This window comes from Homo sapiens, chromosome 5 (genome assembly GCF_000001405.40).
Source record: "Homo sapiens chromosome 5, GRCh38.p14 Primary Assembly".
In the NCBI taxonomy this organism is placed as follows: Eukaryota; Metazoa; Chordata; class Mammalia; order Primates; family Hominidae; genus Homo; species Homo sapiens.
Genome location: NC_000005.10, coordinates 98,425,212 through 98,445,800, shown reverse-complemented (window position 1 = coordinate 98,445,800; position 20,589 = coordinate 98,425,212). Strand labels below are relative to the sequence as shown.

The following is a 20,589-nucleotide window of genomic DNA, read 5'->3' as shown; positions in this document are numbered from 1 at the left end:
ATGAGAGAAATATCTCTGTTTTCTCTTTAGTTGTTTATTTTTTTGAAACATGCCATGATTCAACCATTTATTTTCTGATTTTTAGATGGAAAAACTGGATTTAAAAAAGAGGAAAAAGCTATTCATGATGTTCAATAAAGAGTTGCTATTTTATAATATATAAATTATTTGAAAAGCAATATTTTTTATTCACCAGTTGTAGGCACTGTTCTTGGTGTCTACCGATGTGCATACTATGGAACAATTGCCCCCTGAGGAGCAGTGGTATCCACTTCAGTCATTCCACTCAGGTACAACTTGAATTACTATCTCAGAAAGTCTTCTTGAGTGATTTGAATTTTGTTTTTATAATATGATAATGCATAAAAATAAAATTTTCATATAAATAAAAATTTAAAAATATGGGCTTTGTAACCAAGCAGATTTGAGTTTCAATAATGCAAAAAGCAGATATTTGATAATATATGTTGAATTAATGAAAAAATCAATCATTCAATCATTTAATGAATCCTTGCTATATTTCTTATAAGTTAAATTAATGAAAGAGTCAGTAAATCATTTAGTCATTTGATGAATCCTAGTTCCATTCCTTATAGATTGTATAATATTGGGCAAGTTATTTGGAAAACTGAAACACAGAAAGGTTATTTATAAGACACGTTCACAGATTTGGAGTGAAGACAAATGGCATATTGTTTACATCTGAAAAAATATCTAGAGCATAATAATTGGTCAATAAAAGTTTATGTCTTTTATTTTTCTTGAAGACATTTCAGCTCTTTGCAGCAATACGCTGTCATAGATCTGTCAAGTAATATGCAATTTTACATAAGGGTACTTATTTATGCAATACCATAGAACCGAGCTTTCAACCAGGCAAAGTTACTCACACTATGCAAGACTTAATCTGGAAAATAGCTTGGAGTTTATCGGATTCAGTACCCTTAAGTTGCTTGGAGAATTTTAGGACTCTTAAGTGTATATCTAGAAAGACATTTCTTGAACATCTTGAATAAAACGTAATTTGAAATGTTTTAAGGGGACCAATACTGAAAATTTACATGAATAAAGATGACTTTTTCCATTGGATAGGCTTTCTTTTATGAAATGAGCATATATGTGCCAAACCAGTTTGATTAATCTTTTTTTCTGGGTTTTGGCATTTGTAGTTCTTTATGTTTGACAAAACCAGATCAGTGTAGGAGATTTTTAGTGGCAGGTGAATTTTTTAATAGAAAGAATAGAATATATTATGCCTATTATCTTTTTCTCAGCATATTGGTGTTCCATCTTTATTTCTCTACTTTCATCTATCTTTAGTGGCTAAACATGGTTCCCACTTTCCCCCTACTTTCTCCCCTATTACATGGTAGCATTAAAAAGCATTACTTATTTTTGTTAAACCCAATGTCCTCTTCTTGTTCTTTAATCTTAAACTTTCTACAAATTTTGCCTCTGTTATATTTCTCTTCCTTCTTGAATCTTGGTTTCCAAAGTGCACCTGTATCTCAGTATTCCTCTTACATCTTCAGAAACTTTTGCTCTGTTTCATTCTTCCCTATTCAGATCCTTCAATATAGTTTTCCTGCAATATTTTGTGCTTACTCATCCTAGTGGATGTGTGGTGTACCACCAAGAGCACAGGAAAGAAGTAATTAATACCCCTGCTGCTGGGTGTACTGCCAGAAGAAAACTCTAAACTGTCAGCACGTCTCAGGAGTTACCTCAGATGAGAGAGAAAGAGTCACCTATCCAAAGAGAATGCTTTCTTTCCAAGGCAGCTGCTTCCCATGGCTGATTGGTACAGAGCCCAGACTCTACTTCAATTTGAGACAGCTCTAAAGGGTCATACTGTCTGTAGAACATCCTGTAGGGCTAGCTGAAGCTTCCATTGAGACTGCATTTCACCTTGACTTCTCCCTTTGCCCAATCTGTTGATCCCAAGCATATTCCATAGTCATCATCATGCTCACTAATCTTCATTTTAGAGCCTGCTTCCTTGGGAACTCAATTTGTGACAGTCAACTTTTTTTCTCTTGTATACTCCTTCTTGATATAATCTCAACACTCTTCATACCTCAACTTGCATCAGATAATTCCCAACTCTTTCTCTTGCTCTGAGCTCCTTTGGAACCCTCAGTATTTGATATGGTTTGGCTTTGTCCTCACCCAAATCTCATCTGGACTTCCCACATGTTATGTGGGGGACGCAGTGGGAGGTAATTGAATCATGGGGGCAGGTCTTTTCCGTGCTGTTTTTGTGATAGTGAATAAGTCTCATGAGATTTGATGGCTTTAAAAAGGGACGTTTCCCTGCACAAGCTCTCTTCCTTTTGTTTGCCACCATGTGAGATATGCCTTTCACCTTAGGCCATAATTGAGAGCCCTCCCTAGCCACATGGAACTGTAAGTCCATTAAACCTCTTTCTTTTGTAAATTGCCCAGTCCCAGGTATGCCTTTATCAGCAGCATGAAAATGGACTAATACAGTAAATTGGTACCAGTAGAGTGGGGCATTGCTGAAAAGATACCCAAAAATGTGGAAACAACTTTGGAACTGAGTAACAAGCAGAGGTTGGAACAATTTGGGGGGCTCAGAAAAAGGCAGGAAAATTTGGGAAAGTTTGCAACTTCCTAGAGACTTGTTGAATGGCTTTGACATAAATGCTGGTAGTGATATGAACAATAAGGTCCAGGCTGAGGTGGTCTCATATGGAGATGAGGAACTTGTTGAGAACTTGAGCAAAGGGGACTGTGGTTATGTTTTAGCAAAAAGACCGGGAGCATTTTGCCCCCTGCCCTAGAGATTTGTGGATTTTTAAACTTGAGAGAGATGATTTAGGGTATCTGGTGGAGGAAATTTCTAAGCAGCAAAGCATTCAAGAGGTGATTTGGGTGCTGTTAAAGGCATTCAATTTTATAGGGGAAGCAGAACATAAAAGGTTGGAAAATTTGCAGCTGGACAATCTGATAGAAAAAAAAATCCCATTTTCTGAGGAGAAATTCAAGCTTGCTGTGGAAATTTGCATAAGTAACTAGAAGCCAAATGTTAATCCCCAAGACAATGGGGAAAATGTCTCCTGGGCATGTCAGAGTTCTTCATGGCAGCCCCTCCCATCACAGGCCCTGAGGCCTAGAAGGAAAAATGTTTTCATGGGTTGGGCCCAGAGTAACTGTGTTGTGTGCAGTCTAGGGACTTGGTCCTCTGTGTCCCATCCACTCTAGCCATGTCTAAAAGGGGCGAAGGTACAGCTGAGGCTGTGGTTTCAGAGGGTGCAAGCCCTTCACCTTGGCAGCTTACATGTGGTATTCAGCCTGCAAGTGCACAGAAGTCAAGAGTTGAGGTTTGGGAACCTCCACCTAGATTTCAGAGGATGTATAGAAATGCCTGGGTGTCCAGGTAGAAGTTTGCTGCAGTGGCGGGGCCCTTATGGCAAACCTCTGCTGGGGCAGCGGGGAAGGGAAATGTGGGATTCAAGCTCCCACACAGAGTCCCTACTGGAGCACCGCCTAGTGGAGCTGTGAAAAGTGGACCACCGTCCTCCAGATCCCAGAATGGAAGATCTGCTGACAGCTTGCACCATGCACCTGGAAAAGCCACAGACACTCAACATCAGCCTGTGAAAGCAGCCAAGAGGGTGGCTGCACCCTGCAAAGCCACAGGGTTGGAGCTGCCCAAGACCATGGGAACCCACCTCTTGCATCAATATGACCTTCATGTGAGACAAAGGACATCATTTTGGAGCTTTAAGATTTGACTGCCCTGCTGGATTTCAGACTTGGATGGGGCCTGTAGTCCTTTTATTTTGGCCAAATTCTCCCATCTGGAATGGCTGTATTTACCCAATGCCTATACACCCATTGTATCTAGGAAGTAACTAACTTGCTTTTGATTTTATAGGCTCATAGGCAGAAGGGACTTGCCTTGTCTCAGATGAGACATTGGACTGTGGACTATTGAGTTAATGCTAAAATGAGTTAAGGCTTTGGTGGACTATTGGGAAGGCATGATTGGTTTTGAAATGTGAGTACATGAGATTTGGGAGGGGACAGGGTGAAATGATATGGTTTGCCTGTGTCCCAACCAAAATCTCATCTTGAAATCTCATGTGTTGTGGGAGGGACCCAGTAGAGTGTAATTGAATCATGGAGGCAGGCCTTTCCCGTACTGTTTTTGTGATAGAGAATAAGTCTCAGAAGATCTTATGGTTTAGAAAGGGGAGTTTCCCTGAACAAGCTCTCTTTCTCTTATCTACCACCATGTGAGACATGCCTTTCACCTTCTGCCATGATTGTGAGGCCTCCCCATCCAGGTGGAACTGTAAGTCCATTAAACCTCTTTCTTATGTAAACTGCCCAGTCTTGGGTATGTCTTTATCAGCAGTGTGAAAATGGACTAATACAGTACTTTTCACACTTACATATGATACATCTTTATAAATATATTAGCTCAAACTCACTATTGTCATGTGCATCCATGTGGAGAGACCACCAAACAGGCTTTGTGTGAACAATAAATCTTTTTAATCACCTGAGTGCAGGCAGACTGAGTCTGAAAAAGGAGTCAGCAAAGGGAGATAGGGGTGGGGCAGTTTTATAGGATTTGGTTAGGTAGCGGAAAATTATAGTTAAAGGGGGTTGTTATCTTGGGGGCAGGGGTGGGGGTCACAAGGTGCTTGGTGGGGGAGCTCCTGAGATTCATTGTCCAGGAGAAGGAATGTCACAAGGTTAACTGATCATTTAAGGTGGGGTAGGAACAAATCATAGTGGTGGAATGTCATCAATTAAGGCAGGAACTGCCTATTTTCACTTCTTTTGTGGTTCTTTGGTTGCTTCAGGCCATCTGGATGTATATGTGCAGGTCACAGGGAATATGATGGCTTAGCTTCAGCTCAGAGGCCTGACATTCCTGTCTTTTTTTTTTTTTTTTTTTTTGAGATAGAGTTTTGCTCTGTTGCCCAGGCTGGAGTGCAGTGGTGTGATCTGAGCTCCCTGCAAGCTCCATCTCCCAGGTTCATGCCATTCTCCTGCCTCAGCTTCCTGAGTAGCTGGGACTACAGGTGCCCACCACCATGTCTGGCTAGTTTTTTGTATTTTTAGTAGCAACAGGGTTTCACTGTGTTAGCCAGGATGGTCACATTCTCCTGACCTTGTGATTCACCTGCCTTGGCCTCCCAAAGTGCTGGGATTATAGGCACAAGGCACCGTGCCCAGCCCCTGTCTTCTTATATTAATAAGAAAAACAAAACAAAATAGTAGTGAAGTGTTGGGGTCACGAAAATTTTTGAGGGTGGTATGGAGAGATAATGGGTGATGTTTCTCAGGGCTGCTTCGAGCGGGATTAGGGGCAGCATGGGAACTTAGGTTGGGAGAAATTAAATTGAAGAAAGATTTTGGGGTAAGGGGTGATATTGTGGAGTTGTTAGAAGGAACATTTGTCATATAGAATGACTGGTGATGACCTGGATGCGGTTTTGTATGAATTGAGAAACTAATCGGAAGACACAAGGTCCAAATAAGAAAAGGAGAAAAACAGGTATTAGGGGACTAAGAATTGGGAGGAGCCAGGACATCCAATTAGAAAGTGCCCAGGGAGGTCCAGCATAATTATTTGCCTGGTTGGCGAGTTTTGGGGCTCTATCTTTGAGTTTTTTATGTTGCCATATACCAGGCCAGATTGATTTAGGTAAAAACAACACTCTTCATTTAAAAATATACAGAGTCCTCCTTTTTCAGCACTGAGTAAATTAAGGCCTATTCCTGCCTTCTTATATTAATGAGAAAATTAAAACAAAATAGTGGTGAAGTGTTGGTGTCATGAGGGGAACAGGAAGCTGTTCGGTCCTATTTGCAAATTGATTTTTGGGGGTAAGGAAAACTAGTGTACATGTACCTGTCCAATTAATAGGTAGACACATGTAGGTGGAGGAGCCACAGAGGAAGAAGAGACCTTTGTAAGGCAAAACTGGAAATGTAAAGTGAAAAGATGAGAGGGAGCACCAAAAGAGGTGTCTTGCACCGAGACTCTTAGGGATATAGCGAAGGCAGCAGCCATTAGAGGTTGTAATGGGGATTGATGGGGCAACTGGGTAGAGAGGGAGGTTTGATTTTTATGGTGTACAAGAAAGCACATAGTGTCTACAAGCAACCTTTCATTGCTATTCATGGGGTTGGGTATAAGTAAACAAGAAGGGGGGCTGGGAGGAGAGTCTGAAGAACAAGGGGCAAATGTCTTCAAGGAAATGAGAGGTTCTAAGAAGCGGACTAGTGGCTTGTAACCCGTATGGAAGAGGTTACAAAAGGATGATAAAATGGAATGAGCCTGTGAGGCTGGAAGGAGGAATTTTTCTTGGTCCAAGAACCATTTGCCTTGTGTGGGAAGAGATTGATAGGTGGAAGTTTCAGTGGGATAGTGGGTGGGAGTGACCGATGAGAAGGAGAAAAACTGGCCATGAGGGACAGAAGTTAGAACGCTAGCTGCTTCTTTAGCTATCTTATCAGCATAAGCATTGCCCTGAGCAATGGAATCTGATGCCTTTTGATCGCCCTTGCAGTGAATGACCCCAGCTTCCTTGGAAGTAGAGAAGCTTTAAGTAGAGTTTTTATTAAGGAGGCATTAATGATGGAGGATTCTTGTGTAATGGGGAAACCTCTTTCAGCCCATATAACAACATGGTGGTGAAGGATGTGGAAGGCATACTTGGAATTGGTATAAATATTGACACACAGTCCTTTTGCAGGAATCAGGGCTTGAGTTAAGGCAATGAGTTCGGCTTGCTGAGAGGTATTGTAGAGGGGCAGAGCGGTAGCCTCAATGATAGATGTGGAAGACACTATAACATAGACTGCTTTTGCCGGTGATTGGCGATTGGGCCTGGAAGAACCACCAACAATAAACCAAGTGTGGTCTGGGTGGGGAACAGGAAAGAGGGAAATATGGGGAAATGGGGAGAATGCCATGTGGATTAGAGCAATAGAGTCATGGGGTTTAGATGTAGTATCAGGAATAAGATGAGAGGCCAGATTGAAGTCTGGGCCAGGAACAATGGTAATTGTGGGAGATTTAACAAATAGTGAGTACAGTTGAAGGAGCCAGGGGGCAGAAAGTATATGCATCAAGTATGAGGAGGAAAATAGATTTTGAAAGTTATGAGAACTGTAGAGAGTAAGTGGAGCATAGCTTGTGATTTTGAGGGCCTTTAAACGTATTAAAGTGGCAGCAGCCGCTGCACACAGATATGAGGGCCAGCCTAAAACAGTAAAGTCAGGTTGTTTGGAGAGGGCGCAGTCCTGACTCTTGTGTAAAAATTCCAGCCGCACAGCCCTGTACTTTGGCTGTGTGTAATGAAAAGGGTTGGGATGAGTTAGAGAGAGCTAGTGTGGGAGAAGCTTCTAGGGCTGTTTTTAAGGAACGGAAAGAGGAGTGGGGAAAGGATCTAGGATCTATGGGGTCAGCTAGGTTTCCTTTTGTGAGTTTATATAATGGTTTAGTCAGGATGGCAAAACCAAGTTTTCAAAGGCAAAAGTACCTAACCATGCCTAGGAAGGAAAGGAGTTGTTGCTTTGTAGAAGGGGTTAGGGTTTGGGAGATTAGCTGGACACGATCAGCAGGGAGAGCATGTGTGTTTTTATGAAGAATTATGCTGAGATAGGTAATGGATGAGGAAGAAATTTGGGCTTTGGAGGGGGATATGTGATATCCTTTTGAGAATAGATGTTGGAGGAGCAGGAGGGTGTCCTGTTGGGAAGATTTGTAGGAGGGGCTATAAGATGGAAGGTCATTAAAATATTAAGGTGAGAAGCAGATGGACAAAAAGAAAGTAAATCATGAGAAAGGGCTTGACTGAAATAATGGGGGCTGTCTGTGAAGCCTTGTGGCAGTACAGCCCAGGTAAGTTGCTGAGACTGATGGGTGTCAGGATCAGTCCAAGTGAAAGCGAAGAGAGGTGGGAATGAAGGGTGTAAAGGAATAGCAAAGAAAGCATCTTTGAGATCCAGAACAGAATAACGGCTTGTGGAGGGAGGTATTGAATATAGGAGAGTATATGGGTTTGGCACCACGGGGTGGATAGGCAGGACAATTTGGTTGATAAGGCAAAGATCCTGGACCAACCTGTAAGACTTGTCAGGTTTTTGGACAGGTAGGATAGGAGACTTCTAAGGAGAGTTTGTAGGCTTTAAAAGGCCATGTTGTAACAGGCGGGTGATAACAGGCTTTAACCCTTTTAAAGTGTGCTGTGGGATGGGGTATTAGCATTGAGTGGGGTAAGGGTGATTAGGTTTTAATGGGATAGTAATGAGTGTGTGATCGATCGCCAGGGAGGGAGGAGAGGTGTCCCATACTTGTGGGTTAAAGTTGGGGGATACAAGAGGAAGGTGCGAAGGAGGCTTTGAACTGGGGAAAACGGTGGCGATGAGTTGTGGCTATAGCCCAGGAATAGTCAGGAAAGCAGATAATTTAGTTAAAATGTCTCAACCAAATAAGGGAGCTGGGCAGGTGGAGATAACTAAAAAGGAGTGCATAAAAGAATGTTGTCCAAGTTGGCACCAGAGTTGGGGAGTTTTAAGAGGTTTAGAAGCCTGGCCATCAATACCCACAACAGTTATGGAGGCAAGGGAAACAGGCCCTTGAAAAGAAGGTAATGTGGAGTGGGTAGCCCCTGTATTGGTTAAGAAGGGGATGGACTTAGCCTCCACTGTAAGAGTTACCCAAAGCATCTGTGATGGTCCAGGAGGCTTCCAAGGGGATTGGGCAGTGTCAGTCTTCAGCCGCTAAGCCGAGAAGGTCTGGGAAGGAGTCAGTCAGAGAGCCTCAGGCCAGAGTTCTGGGGGCTCTGGGAGTGGCTGCTGGGTGAGTTGGATAGTTTGATTTCCAGTGGGGTCCTGCACAGATGGAACTTGGCTTAGGAGGAATCCTGGGCGGCAGGCATTCCTTGCCCAGGGCCAGATTTCTGGCACTTGAGGCAAGTACCTGGGGGAGGAGGTCCTAGAGGAATGCCTGGCTGCTGCAGTTTAGGCATTTTGAAGTTCTTGTGTGCTGGAGATGTGGTTGGGGTTTCTCTTACAGTAGAGGCAAGTAATTGCAACTCAGAAATATGTTGCTGCTTGGCTGCCTCTTCTCTATTATTGTACACCTTGAAGGCGAGGTTAATTAAGTCCTGTTGTGGGGTTTGAGGGCCGGAATCTAATTTTTGGAGCTTTTTCTAATGTCAGGAGCGGATTGGGTAATGAAATGCATATTGAGAATAAGACGGCTTTCTGGCCCCTCTGGGTCTAGGGCGGTAAAGCATCTAAGGGTTTTTGCCAAATGGGCCATGAACTGGGCTAGGTTTTTATATTTGATGAAAAAGAGCCTAAACACTAACTGATCTGGGAGAGGTTGGATAAAGAAAAAGGAGCATTGGCCGGGCGTGGTGGCTCATGCCTGTAATCCTAGCACTTTGGGAGGCCAAGGTAGGCAGATCACAAGGTCAGGAGATTGAGACCATCCTGGATAACACGGTGAACCCTGCCTCTACTAAAAATAGAAAAAAAAAATTAGCCAGGCGTGGTGGCGGGCACCTGTAGTCCAAGCTACTTGGGAGGCTGAGGCAGGAGAATGGCGTGAACCTGGGAGGCGGAGCTTGCAGTGAGCCGAGATTGCGCCACTGCACTCCAGCCTGGGCGACAGAGCAAGACTCTGTCTCAAAAAAAAAAAAGAAAGAAAAAAAAGAAAAAGGAGCGTTAACCTTGAATATGCCTTCAGCTCCTGCCACCTCTCTAAGAGGAAATTGTTGGGCAGGTGAGGGAGAGCTAATCATGGAACAAAACTGTAAGCCATACCGGGTGTGAGGGGAGGTGATAGAAGGGTTATAGAGTGGGGAAGCAGAGGCTGAGGAAGAATTGGGACCTGGCTGGGCCTGGTGAGGAGCAGCCTGGGGAGGAGGGGGAGAGGTCAGATGGGTCCATAGAAAAGGAGGATTCAAAGGACTCAGAGCTTGGGGTGGAGACTGAAGGAACAGCCAGGAGAGAAAGAAGAAAGATTTGGGACAAGTTGCATTGGGAGCAGAGACTAGGGAGGGACCTATGTGTAAAAGAATGCCTGGACGTCAGGCACCTCAGACCATTTGCCCATTTTTCAACAAAAATCATCCAGGTCTTGTAAGATGGAGAAATCAAAAGCGCCATTTTCTGGTCATTTAGAACCATGGTCAAGTTTGTATTGGGGCCAAGCAGCATTGCAGAAGAAAATAAGTTGTTTAGGGTTTAGGTCAGGTGTGAGTTGAAGAGGTTTTAAGTTCTTGAGAACACAAGCTAAGGGAGAAGAAGGGGGAATGGAGTGTGGAAGATTGCACATAGTGAAGGAGGTAAGTTTAAAGAGAAAGGTAGAGACATGGAGAAGGGGGTGGTGAGGAGCCAAAGCAGGCATCCCCACAATTGACTTGCCACCAAGGGAATGTGGGTGAATGACCAAGGCAGGCGTCCCCGTGGTGATCAGACACCAGTGGATGAATGGTAGGTGAATGATCAGGGCAGGCATCCCCGCACTGATCAGACACCAAGGGAAGACTGTCGTCTTGAGTCTGTGACCGGCACCAGAGTTTTGGGTCCACGGATAAAATGTGTCTCCTTTGTCTCTACTAGAGAGGAAAAAGAACTGGAATTGGAAGGACAGGGAGATTGAAGGGTAGCGAGAGAGGCTGGAGAAGAGAGTGAAGAAATCGCTTACCTGATTTGAAATTGGTGAGATGTTCCTTGGGCTGATCTGAGGACCCAAGGTCATAGGTGGATCTCCTCATGGAGTGAGGGTGAGGACAGGGGAACGGTCTCCCGAAAGGAGTCCCCTGTCCCAGGTCTTTGGCACCAATTGTCATGCGCCTCCATGTGAAGAGACCACCAAACAGGCTTTGTGTGAGCAATAAAGCTTTTTAATCACCTGGGTGCAGGTGGACTGAGTCCGAAAAGAGAGTCAGCAAAGGGAGATGGGGTGGGGTAGTTTTATAGGATTTGGGTAGATAGTGGAAAATTATAGTTAAAGGGGGTTGTTCTTTTGCAGGCAGGGGCAGGGGTCACAAGGTGCTTGGTGGGGGAGCTCCTAAGATTCATTGTCCAGAAGAGGGAATGTCACAAGGTTGACCAGTTAGGGTGGGGCAGGAACAAATCACAATAGTGGAATGTCATCAGTTAGGACAGGAACTGCCTATTTTCACCTCTTTTGTGGTTCTTCAGTTGCTTCAGGACATCTGGATGTATATGTGCAGGTCACAGGGGATATGATGGCTTAGCTTGGGCTCAGAGGCCTGACAATTATGATATCAAATATTCTCAACCTCTTATCCTCTCATTATTTTGGTAACATTTCTTCATAGCACCTGGCATTTTCAGAACTGCACTTTTTCTCAGTTATATTCATTTTTTAAACTTGGATTTAAAAGAAAGCCTTGGAAAAAAACAGACTATTTTTCCTACTATGTTTGGTAGTAAACAAGGCAACTGGGCACATGAGTCTTTCTGCGTTTGATTTCTCTTGTGGTGAAGGAGTTTCTGAGATTGTCTTTGTGGTCAACGTTTAGCTCTTAATCAGGTTAGGAATACTCATTTGAGCAAATGGCTTTATTTCATTTTTTTGAGCTAGCTCTGATGTTACCTACATATTTGGAGTGGCATTTTTTTTTTTGAAATGAATTAATAAAATACAGAAATACCTAGAAAAATATTGTATTCTGTGTGAACAAAATGGTGACCCTGCCAAGGAAGGCTTTTCAAATCTTCAGAACAGTCCATTCATTTAATGACAATTTTAATTTACTGAAATTTTACAAAATTTTAATTTACTGAAAGCTTATTATGTATCAGCTCCTTCATATGGTTTATGTTATTTAATCCTGTGAACAGCACAGGGAATTTGGAATTATTAATATTATCATTTTTAAAGATGACTAATGCTAAGAGAGGTTAAATAACATTCCTAAGGTGACACAATTTATGAGTCATGAGTGAGACTCAAACTATATTTTTGAGTATTAATTTGCTTTATTTATTTATTTTCTTCTTAGTTTTTTTTTTTACTAAAATTGAGGTGCATTATACTTATAAAATTTAGCACCTTCACCATTTCTAAGGGTAGAGTTCAGTGAAGATTCAAATTTGAATTTAATTCTCAAATTTGTGTTTGTAATCCCTATATTATCCTACACTGAATCCAGATGATAAAACACCAACTGAAAAAACCTCAAGTAGAACAAAATAAGAGTCAATTTTTATATAATAAAACCAAGGATGAATCAATGTTAGTAAAATTATGAATATGCTATGTTATCCTAGAAAATTCAAAGAATTGTATGAGATAAATAGATGATAAACATAGTCAGTCATCTTTGTATAATACCAGTTATACAATTTCTTATGGAAAATTAATTGCACACATTTTTTCTTCCCTAGAGCATTGAACTTTATTTTTTAAAAAAATCCATTTGCGAAACTCTGCTTTGGAGCCTGGAATATTAAACTGTCATCTCACAACCAAAAAAGGACAAGAGTAAAATGAAAATGGATCCTATCCCAAATAACTTAAAGTTTTTTTGGCATTGTTTAATATTTGGAGGGAAATAAGTGAGCTGTAATAGAGCAGAAAGCTCCTTGCTGTCATGATTTGACTACTGCTTTTAACCCCAGAATTAAACAGAGCAGGCAAAACACATTTCCTACAGCCCACAATGAAGTAATATTCAGTCTTGCAGCACCGTTTTTGGAGGCAAGTACACTATCTTTAAATCTACTCTTTTTTGTCAAAACCCTTAAGCAGGAGACCTCATCCAGTGTGGTCACAGCACAGTCAATCTGTTACTTAAAGAATATTTCTTTTGCATTGGTGGACCCCAAATGCCTGCTCTATTGAAATTATAGAGTGAAATGTTCTTAAGCCTTATTCTATTTGGCAAATCAGTGTTTTAAAAGAAAGAATTTAGAGTAATGTTTCGAAAGGTGGAATTTAGAGAGTTGTAGCAGAATGCCATCTACATGGAACATACTTAGCCACTTGCTGTTGTAAAGAGATGTTTTTCCCATCCATTTGCAAGTTGTTTTTTTAATTTAAAGAAATTGCTGTTGAATAAGACACTCTCCTGTCTTTCATGCCACATTCTCTTACCTTTTTTTTCCTTAGTTTGCATTTTAAGAGACATTTGCATGAGAACAAATCCTCTTCATTTGAAGCTTTAGCTGTTTGAACTTCTGACGGATTGACCTCCAGTCGTAATTATTGATGCGGAAGCTTCAAAAGGCTGCAATACCCCATCCTTTATCTTAGGCTCCATTCCCTTTATCTGATACATTCCTTGCTGTTAACCTCAATGGCAGTCCTACCTTTCACTGACTCTAGGAAAGCCTCAGCTCCCTTTCCCCTTCTTTTGACCTTTGGTCAGTGGCCTCATAATTTGCCTGAAATGGTTAGCTTTTCACTTGGAAATGTTTGGCAACAGTCATTTTGCTGGCTGCTCCCAGTTATTGCTGCCTTCAGACGTGCCTTCCTATAAGGCCACAGGCTTCCCAGTGTGGCAGCAGTTTCATGTTTCCATTGTACAATGGCACCTGCTAACTTATAACCGTTGTTGAAGAATTAACTTGTTTTTCTTGAGATGCTTCCTTGACCCTCCTGACCTGGGCAGGTGTCTTTGCCTTGCACTACCACAGCATCTTGTGCTTCTACCATCATAAGGCTCATCACATTGCTGCAACTGCTTATTTAAATTTCTGTAAACTCCATAGAAGTAAAGATTACATTAAGCTTATTTATATCCTCAACCTGCTAACACAGTGCCTCATGTTTAGTAAGTGCTCAATAAGTATTTATTGAATGAATGAATATTGATCAACTATTATGTGTGTGGCACTTTGTCAGGCTCCATTGGTGAAGTCCACTAAAAGCAGAAACATGTGTTCAATTTTTTGCAAGTAGTTATTTGCATGTCTGGAGCTGTCCAGCTCATATTTATCTGTTCCACAAACAAGCAATGAAGGGGATGTGGGGGCAAAGAGATGGGGGTAGGTATTTCAGAAGAATAAACTCATACACAGACACAGCGGTAGGGAAATGAGAAAGAACAGGTGAGAGGTCTGAGGTGGCTTCCAAGCCACCTCAGCCCTAAACAATTTTTGTTTTTCCTGCTATCCCAGGCCTATGGAAGTCTACAAGTTTCACCTCAAATTCACTTATTACAGGATGTTTTTCATGTTTTCTGGAAAGCTATATTCTTTGAGTACCTTTAGAGTTTTGTACAACTTTTATGGAACTGAGTTATTTTGAATTGTAATCAGTTGTGTGCATACTACTGTATCTTACCTGCTCAACTGTAAACTCTGAGTTGAGAGTCTGTCTCTTACTCATCTCTGCATCTTCTGCTCAACATAGAAATTGACCACATTGTAGGTACACATTGTTATTATATTACTCTTTAATTTTAGGGTGAACATTCTCATTAGTGTTGCATAGCTGAAAGAAATGAAGAATGCTCCCTTCTTTAGGTTTAGTCCACCAAATATCCGTCTCTGCAGCTGTTTGGCTTTATGGACCAACATATCTAGCCATTGGTAATTTAGCACTGGGCTTGCTTGAAGGCTTGTGTATGAAGTTTCAATACTGTGAGAAGCAAAGTGGTATCTACCATTATTTAAAAATCAACAACAAATAGGTAAAAAAAAATTTACATATGATTTTTAAGCTAGAGGAAAAAACCGTGTTTGAATTAGAAAGTAAAAATGTTAACCACAGAAATAGATTTTTGTTCCTTCTTCTTTGCAATTTCTTCAGCTGGAGAAAGTTGGGATAGTCATGAAGGATACTTGCAATATCTGAAAGCACCAGCTTCCCATTGACATGGTGCAACTAGACTGTGCCTTTAGCTATATGCTGGCAAGAATCCTATACTGCCCCTGCAACATCAAACAGTTAGGAAGCTAGGAGATTTCTATTTCTCATAGCTTAGCTGTGTGATCTTCAATGTCAGGTAATTCGTACAGACCTTATTCCCATAATTTTTTAAAGAAAGCATTTCAATTAGATGATCTTTAGGATCCCTTCCAGCTTCAGATTTCTAGGTTTTTCTGATATTTTAGGAAAAACAAGGATAAAGATGATTGACGTAAATTTTCTTTCCATATTATGCTTGTGGTTAGTCTTACTGCAATGGGACCTATTATGGCTGGGCTTTCCATAATATGAAAAGGAAGAAAATTCATAGTCATTATTTCCCTTTAAGCATTTGCTTTGTTCTACAGGGTAAGGGTTTTCCAAGTTCTGTACATTGCATGTATTACCCAGAAATGGTGCATATGGTAATAAAAGTGAGAGTCAAAAGGTCCAGGTGAGTTCTTTCTTCTCTCAAAAAGACAATAGACTCAATTGTAATTTTCAGCACATTTTGAAATAGCTTATACTTAATTCCTTAATTTGTTTCATTGAGTTACACTTTTTTTTTTCAAAGGAGGAGCACATAAAGAATGTATAATTTGTTTGGGTTTCTAATACCGCCATTTATCTCTTCATTTCTAATGGCACTGAATGATAATAATGTATGTTAGAAAGTGGGGAGATAGTATAAAATGTCTTTGCTCTGAAATTTTTAAGAGATTCCTTAAGATAATTGAGGATACCAAAGAGGGATATGAAAATAGAAATGAAAACTCACTCTCTTCTGCTTATAGAAAAACATTTAAGCACTAAGAGGGGGTGAACAAGTGGAGAGAGAAATTTAAAAAAAGGGAGAAGGTGAGAGAGACATTGGTTAGTATTGTTCTCTTAAAATTTTGGAAAATAAGTACATTGAACTTTTGTTTTGCAAAGTAGGTGATTTTATTGAGTCTTTAAAATATAGCATCTCATTTTGAGTAATTTTAAATTTTAAAGTTTTTAGAAGATTTCAAATTTCAATTCTGTCAAACAGAATTCAATTTAAAATATATATTTAATTCCATATATAAGTGCTAAAACTGAAATGATGTTGTTTTTTTCATAACACCTGAGATTAAATAATTTTCACTTACTAATTTAAACACTTTTCATAGAACTCTTAATCCATTTGTTTCTCCATTTCCACAAGTTAAAAGAAAAAAAAATCATCTAGTAAATTTTACCTATTGTTTATTTTTCTCTGTATGTGGTTGCTTATATGATACCAACCTAAAACTGTTGGGTACACAATTCTTCAAAGTTTAGTTCCATTGTTTTACATCACCACCATTTTGCTCCATAAATCCCTCATAAAAAATTTGTCAAAGTGTATAATTTGTAAAACTGAATAATTTTACTTCAATCCAAGAATAGCTTTTTCCTACAGAACACTCTATTTTGTGTCAAAAAAATATGTAATAGGACCAAATGAACAAGTTTGACACCAATCAGAACTCCTGCTCTTAAGTTTGACTCCCTTCATTTCATACTGTATGGGGCACACTTTGTACTGTATTTGGCCCTGTAGGCACTTTAACTTAAAGATCCGATTTAGCTTAACTCTTAAATATGCTCCTACATCTCATCTTCTAATAATACATTTCCCTTTTGGGAGACTTTGGGAAAAAAGAGAACTTACTGTACTCTAGCAAGAGTTACATATACAGGAAAGTAGGGCAAGACCAAGCAGGTAGGTAAGTGTAGACCAGCACTTGAGATGCTTTAAAACTTCCAGAAACTGTCTTCTTGAGCAGAAATTGTTTTACGGTAGAAGCCTCCAGGGCCGGAAAGGCATGGGCTTCAAGCCATTTTCTGCCAGGTCAAAGGGTCGATCACAGTTGGGAAAAGACATTTTCATTTTCAACCACAAAATTGCTCTTCATTTCTGCAAAACAACATGGAAAGTGAAACTGGAAGCAAGCCAGGCACTTTGCTGGGTTTGCTTTGGGTGTGAATTTGTTCACATAGCTCTAAGTTCAGAACATAATGTTATGCTCTAGAAATGCCATAGTGTATTGTTAGAGGATGTAATGTCACACTGAGGACCATTTATTTCGCAAAAGGAATGTTAGTTGCTAAAATGCAACCAAATACTGTATGTGGGTATGTGTGTGTGTGCATGCATGTGTTTACATTACATGTACATGAAAATACTCTAAATTTTTTATTTAAAGACATGAAAAGATAGCATCTTAAACAGCCACAGAACTAGAAAGCTAAATTCCTTCACTTTTTATTTAGAGGCAGAATTTCTTTGAATACCTGATTTACCTCTAGAGTAGGAGAGAAGAGTATGGATTGCTCTTGGTGAATTCTTCCTCCTGCTATAACTATTGAGATAAATCACTGGATGAGATGCCCCTATGTTTGCAACAAAGCCTGCATTTCTGAGCTGAGAGTATAACATGAATATTTTGTCAAAAATAATTTAAATGTCGTAGTCTCTAGTTTTTTAATGCCTGATACATTTGTCCATGTTTTATTAATGTCTCCCAGACCTACAGATAGCAGATTCTCAGCAGCATACTTAACATGATTGCCTTTTTTGCACTTTCAGAGCATTGAGTTTGGAGAGAGGAGCTTCAGTGCAAAGTAATGGAGCTTAACACCCTGATTTAAGGTGGGACTCCTTCGTAGCACCCTTGTGCCATTTCATTACTATAGGTTTGCTCTTCTCAGCTAAGTTGCAGATTATTCCTGGGATGAGCTTGTTTTTTTGTCTTTTGTTTTTTATCTCTTCCATACTTTTTCATAGCACTCAGGATATCTGCACACAGTAGGCATTAAAGTATATGCTTAATAATTAAGAACATATTTTCAGTGTTGGTACAGTAAATATTATAATCCAATCGTTGTGGAAGGCTGGAAATTCTTTTGTTTGCTTGGCTGGCTCCTGCTAAAAAAGCTTCTGGGTGCTTGGGGACCTCACGTTCCACTAGGTCCTGGAGGAGACAGCTCTATCCTGTGGCACTTAGCCGTGAGACTAGCTGAACTCATTTTTGGACTGCCAACCCCAGAATTCAGCAACCCAGTCAAAACCAATGAATTTGGTCTTCTTAACCCTTAAAAAAAAAACCAAAAATGGTAGAAAAATGACATTTTGATTTTAAAATGCATTTCCCACAATACTTCATGGGTGAAGTCTTGAAGAAAGGATTATCTTGTTCCCATTTTAAAAGCAAACAAACTCCTGGTTTATTTGACAATTGAGCACTTCTTAGCTCCAGGCATGTCCTCTGGCCTCTCCCCTGTAAAGCAAGCTTTCTCTGACCTGGGTTAACAGACTTAACAAATGAGGAGAGGGAAGGCCCTTTCTTGGACTTCAAGCTAGGTGGTGGAAGAGAGAAAAGCATGCAATTTCTAATGGGGGGTGTGGAGAGGTCCTGATGAAGATTACATGTAAGTGATATTGAGGAAATTTTCTCAAAGGCTCTTCACAAGAATACCTTTGGAAAGTACAATTAAAAAGTAGATAGAGTCATCTATTTTCTTCACGTAAGTTCAAGATATTTTTTTCACAGGTGATTCATAAACAACTTCATCAATTTAAAAAATGTCTGTTGATATTTCTCTCTCCTTCCTTCCCTCCTTCCTTCCTTCCTTCCTTCCTCTCTCTCTCTGTCTCTTCTTCCTTCCTTCCTTCCTTTCTTCCTTTCTTATCAGAGACAGGGTCTTCCTCTGTCACCCAGACTGACATGCAGTGGCTCAATCAAGGCTCACTCAAGCTCCTGGGGTCAAGTGATCCTCCTGCCTCAGCCTCCCAAGAAGCTGGGACAGCATATGTACACCACCACGCTCGGCTAGCTTTTTTTAATGTTTTGTAGAGACAGGGTCTCCCTTTGTTGCCTAGGCTGGTCTCAAACTCCTGGGCCCAAGCTATCCCCCTGCCTTGGCCTCTCAAAGTGTTGAGATTACAGGCACATGCCCTGCACCTGGCTGATATTTTCTTTATGTTTTTAATGTCATCAGCTTTTACATTAAATGTCATAAAACACTTTGTAGTTCCTCAATTTCATATTTCCACAGTTCCTACTTTTGGAATGTAACCTAAAATGTTCAGCAGAGCCTCACTCAGTGAGTACAGTGCAGTAGTGCATTCAAAGCTAATTAAGAGAGAGAATGAATCAGTTGTTTTCATCCACGAATAAGGACACCTGCACTGATAGGTGTAATCCATTCATCAACCAACCCAAGTGCTTGTCTTATGCACAGGTGGCAGTGTTGTTTTCTGTAAGGCTCTTAAATCTCTCTTTTGTTGGTAGGAAATCAAAGGAGTGTGATTTTTAGAAGGCACTGGGGCTATGGCTTAGCCAAACTGTTTTGCTGATCCAAGACAAATTCTTAATGCAAATTAATTCACCACTACACATTCCAAAAGCTGACACCACGTTTAATTTAGATGGTGTCCTTTTTGTATCTTGGGGTCACTGTAGTATAGATACTAAATGGGCATCTAAAATATTTGGGCTTTCACAATTGGGAAACACCAGGTGCAGAAATCTAAGAGTGAAATTTATGGAGTTCCTACGGGAAATTTTGGCATTGTGGTCAAGACCAGAGTTTCCCAAACTTTAGTGTGGGTCTGAATGGTCTGAAAAGCTTATCAAACCAGATTAATAAATCTCAATCTCATAGTATCTGATTCGGAAGGCGAGGTCTAAAGAATCTGTGTTTCTAACAAGTTCCCAGGCGATGCTGCTGCTGCTGCTGGTCTTGGACTGCACTGTGAGACCCATTGGTCTATATCCCAGTATACCCCACTATATTCTAACCCCACTAAAGATTCCTCTCAGCCTCCTGGCAGATTTGGAAAAGTTGAAACAAATGGGTGCTAGAGTTAAACAGGATGAAGAGGTGCAGAGATGCTCTGGGCTGATTGGTAGGCCACACATAGAAATGAAGGAAACTACAAAATCTAAAGACTTCTTTCTTTGCTACTGAGATTTATCTCTGCTTAGCTCTATAAAAGAAAGCAAAGTTGACATTTATGTGATGGCAAACCATAAGGCACCCACTGCCAGCATGAGCAGTTCTGACTACCCACTGTTATTTTTAAATGTTTCAGACACCCTGGGAGAGAGTGCAAAAAAACAGACTCCTGATCTAAACAATATGAGAAAAAGGATTCCAGATAGTTCATTTCACACAAAGGCATTTTTTTCCCACTAATGCAGGTTAGAAGACACTGTAATATAGCAGCAATTATTTTAGCAAGGAAAAAAAGACATAAAGGGCCTTTTCATAAAGATTTTCAGACCTAAATATCTTACCACTATTTACCAATGAAGTTGAAATGTGGGTTATTTTATTTGGGAGCCTTTGTTGTTCATGGGAAAGGTAAGAAATGCTGTGTACAACATGCGGTTTTTATAAAAAGGTACCTTTGTTCAAAACATCTAAACAATTTGTGCCCACCCCCACAGACCTTCAGCAACTAAGGATGATGGTCTTTGTGCCCAAGGTAAGGTGCACATATGAACATTTTGGTTGCATTTTCTGGGTACCATAAGTCCAAAAGGAGAACTCTGATTTACAGTCAACAGCTCCAACAAGTGACCCTTGGCAGAAAGGGTCTGCTTTTTCAGCTGGCGCTGTTGTTGAAGTTCAGAGGAATAGCTCATCTGTCTCTATTTCAGGCATCTGGCAAATGGAGAACTGTTTCA

General features: G+C 40.6%; 1 annotated feature.

The window, feature by feature from the left end:
• Positions 12,748-13,605: an enhancer, noted in NCBI's record as "OCT4-NANOG hESC enhancer chr5:97767900-97768757 (GRCh37/hg19 assembly coordinates)". NCBI's record gives its function as "activates a minimal SCP1, AML or CMV promoter by ChIP-STARR-seq in naive and primed H9 embryonic stem cells {active_cell/tissue: H9 hESC(naive and primed)}" and the evidence as "EXISTENCE:reporter gene assay evidence [ECO:0000049][PMID:30033119]".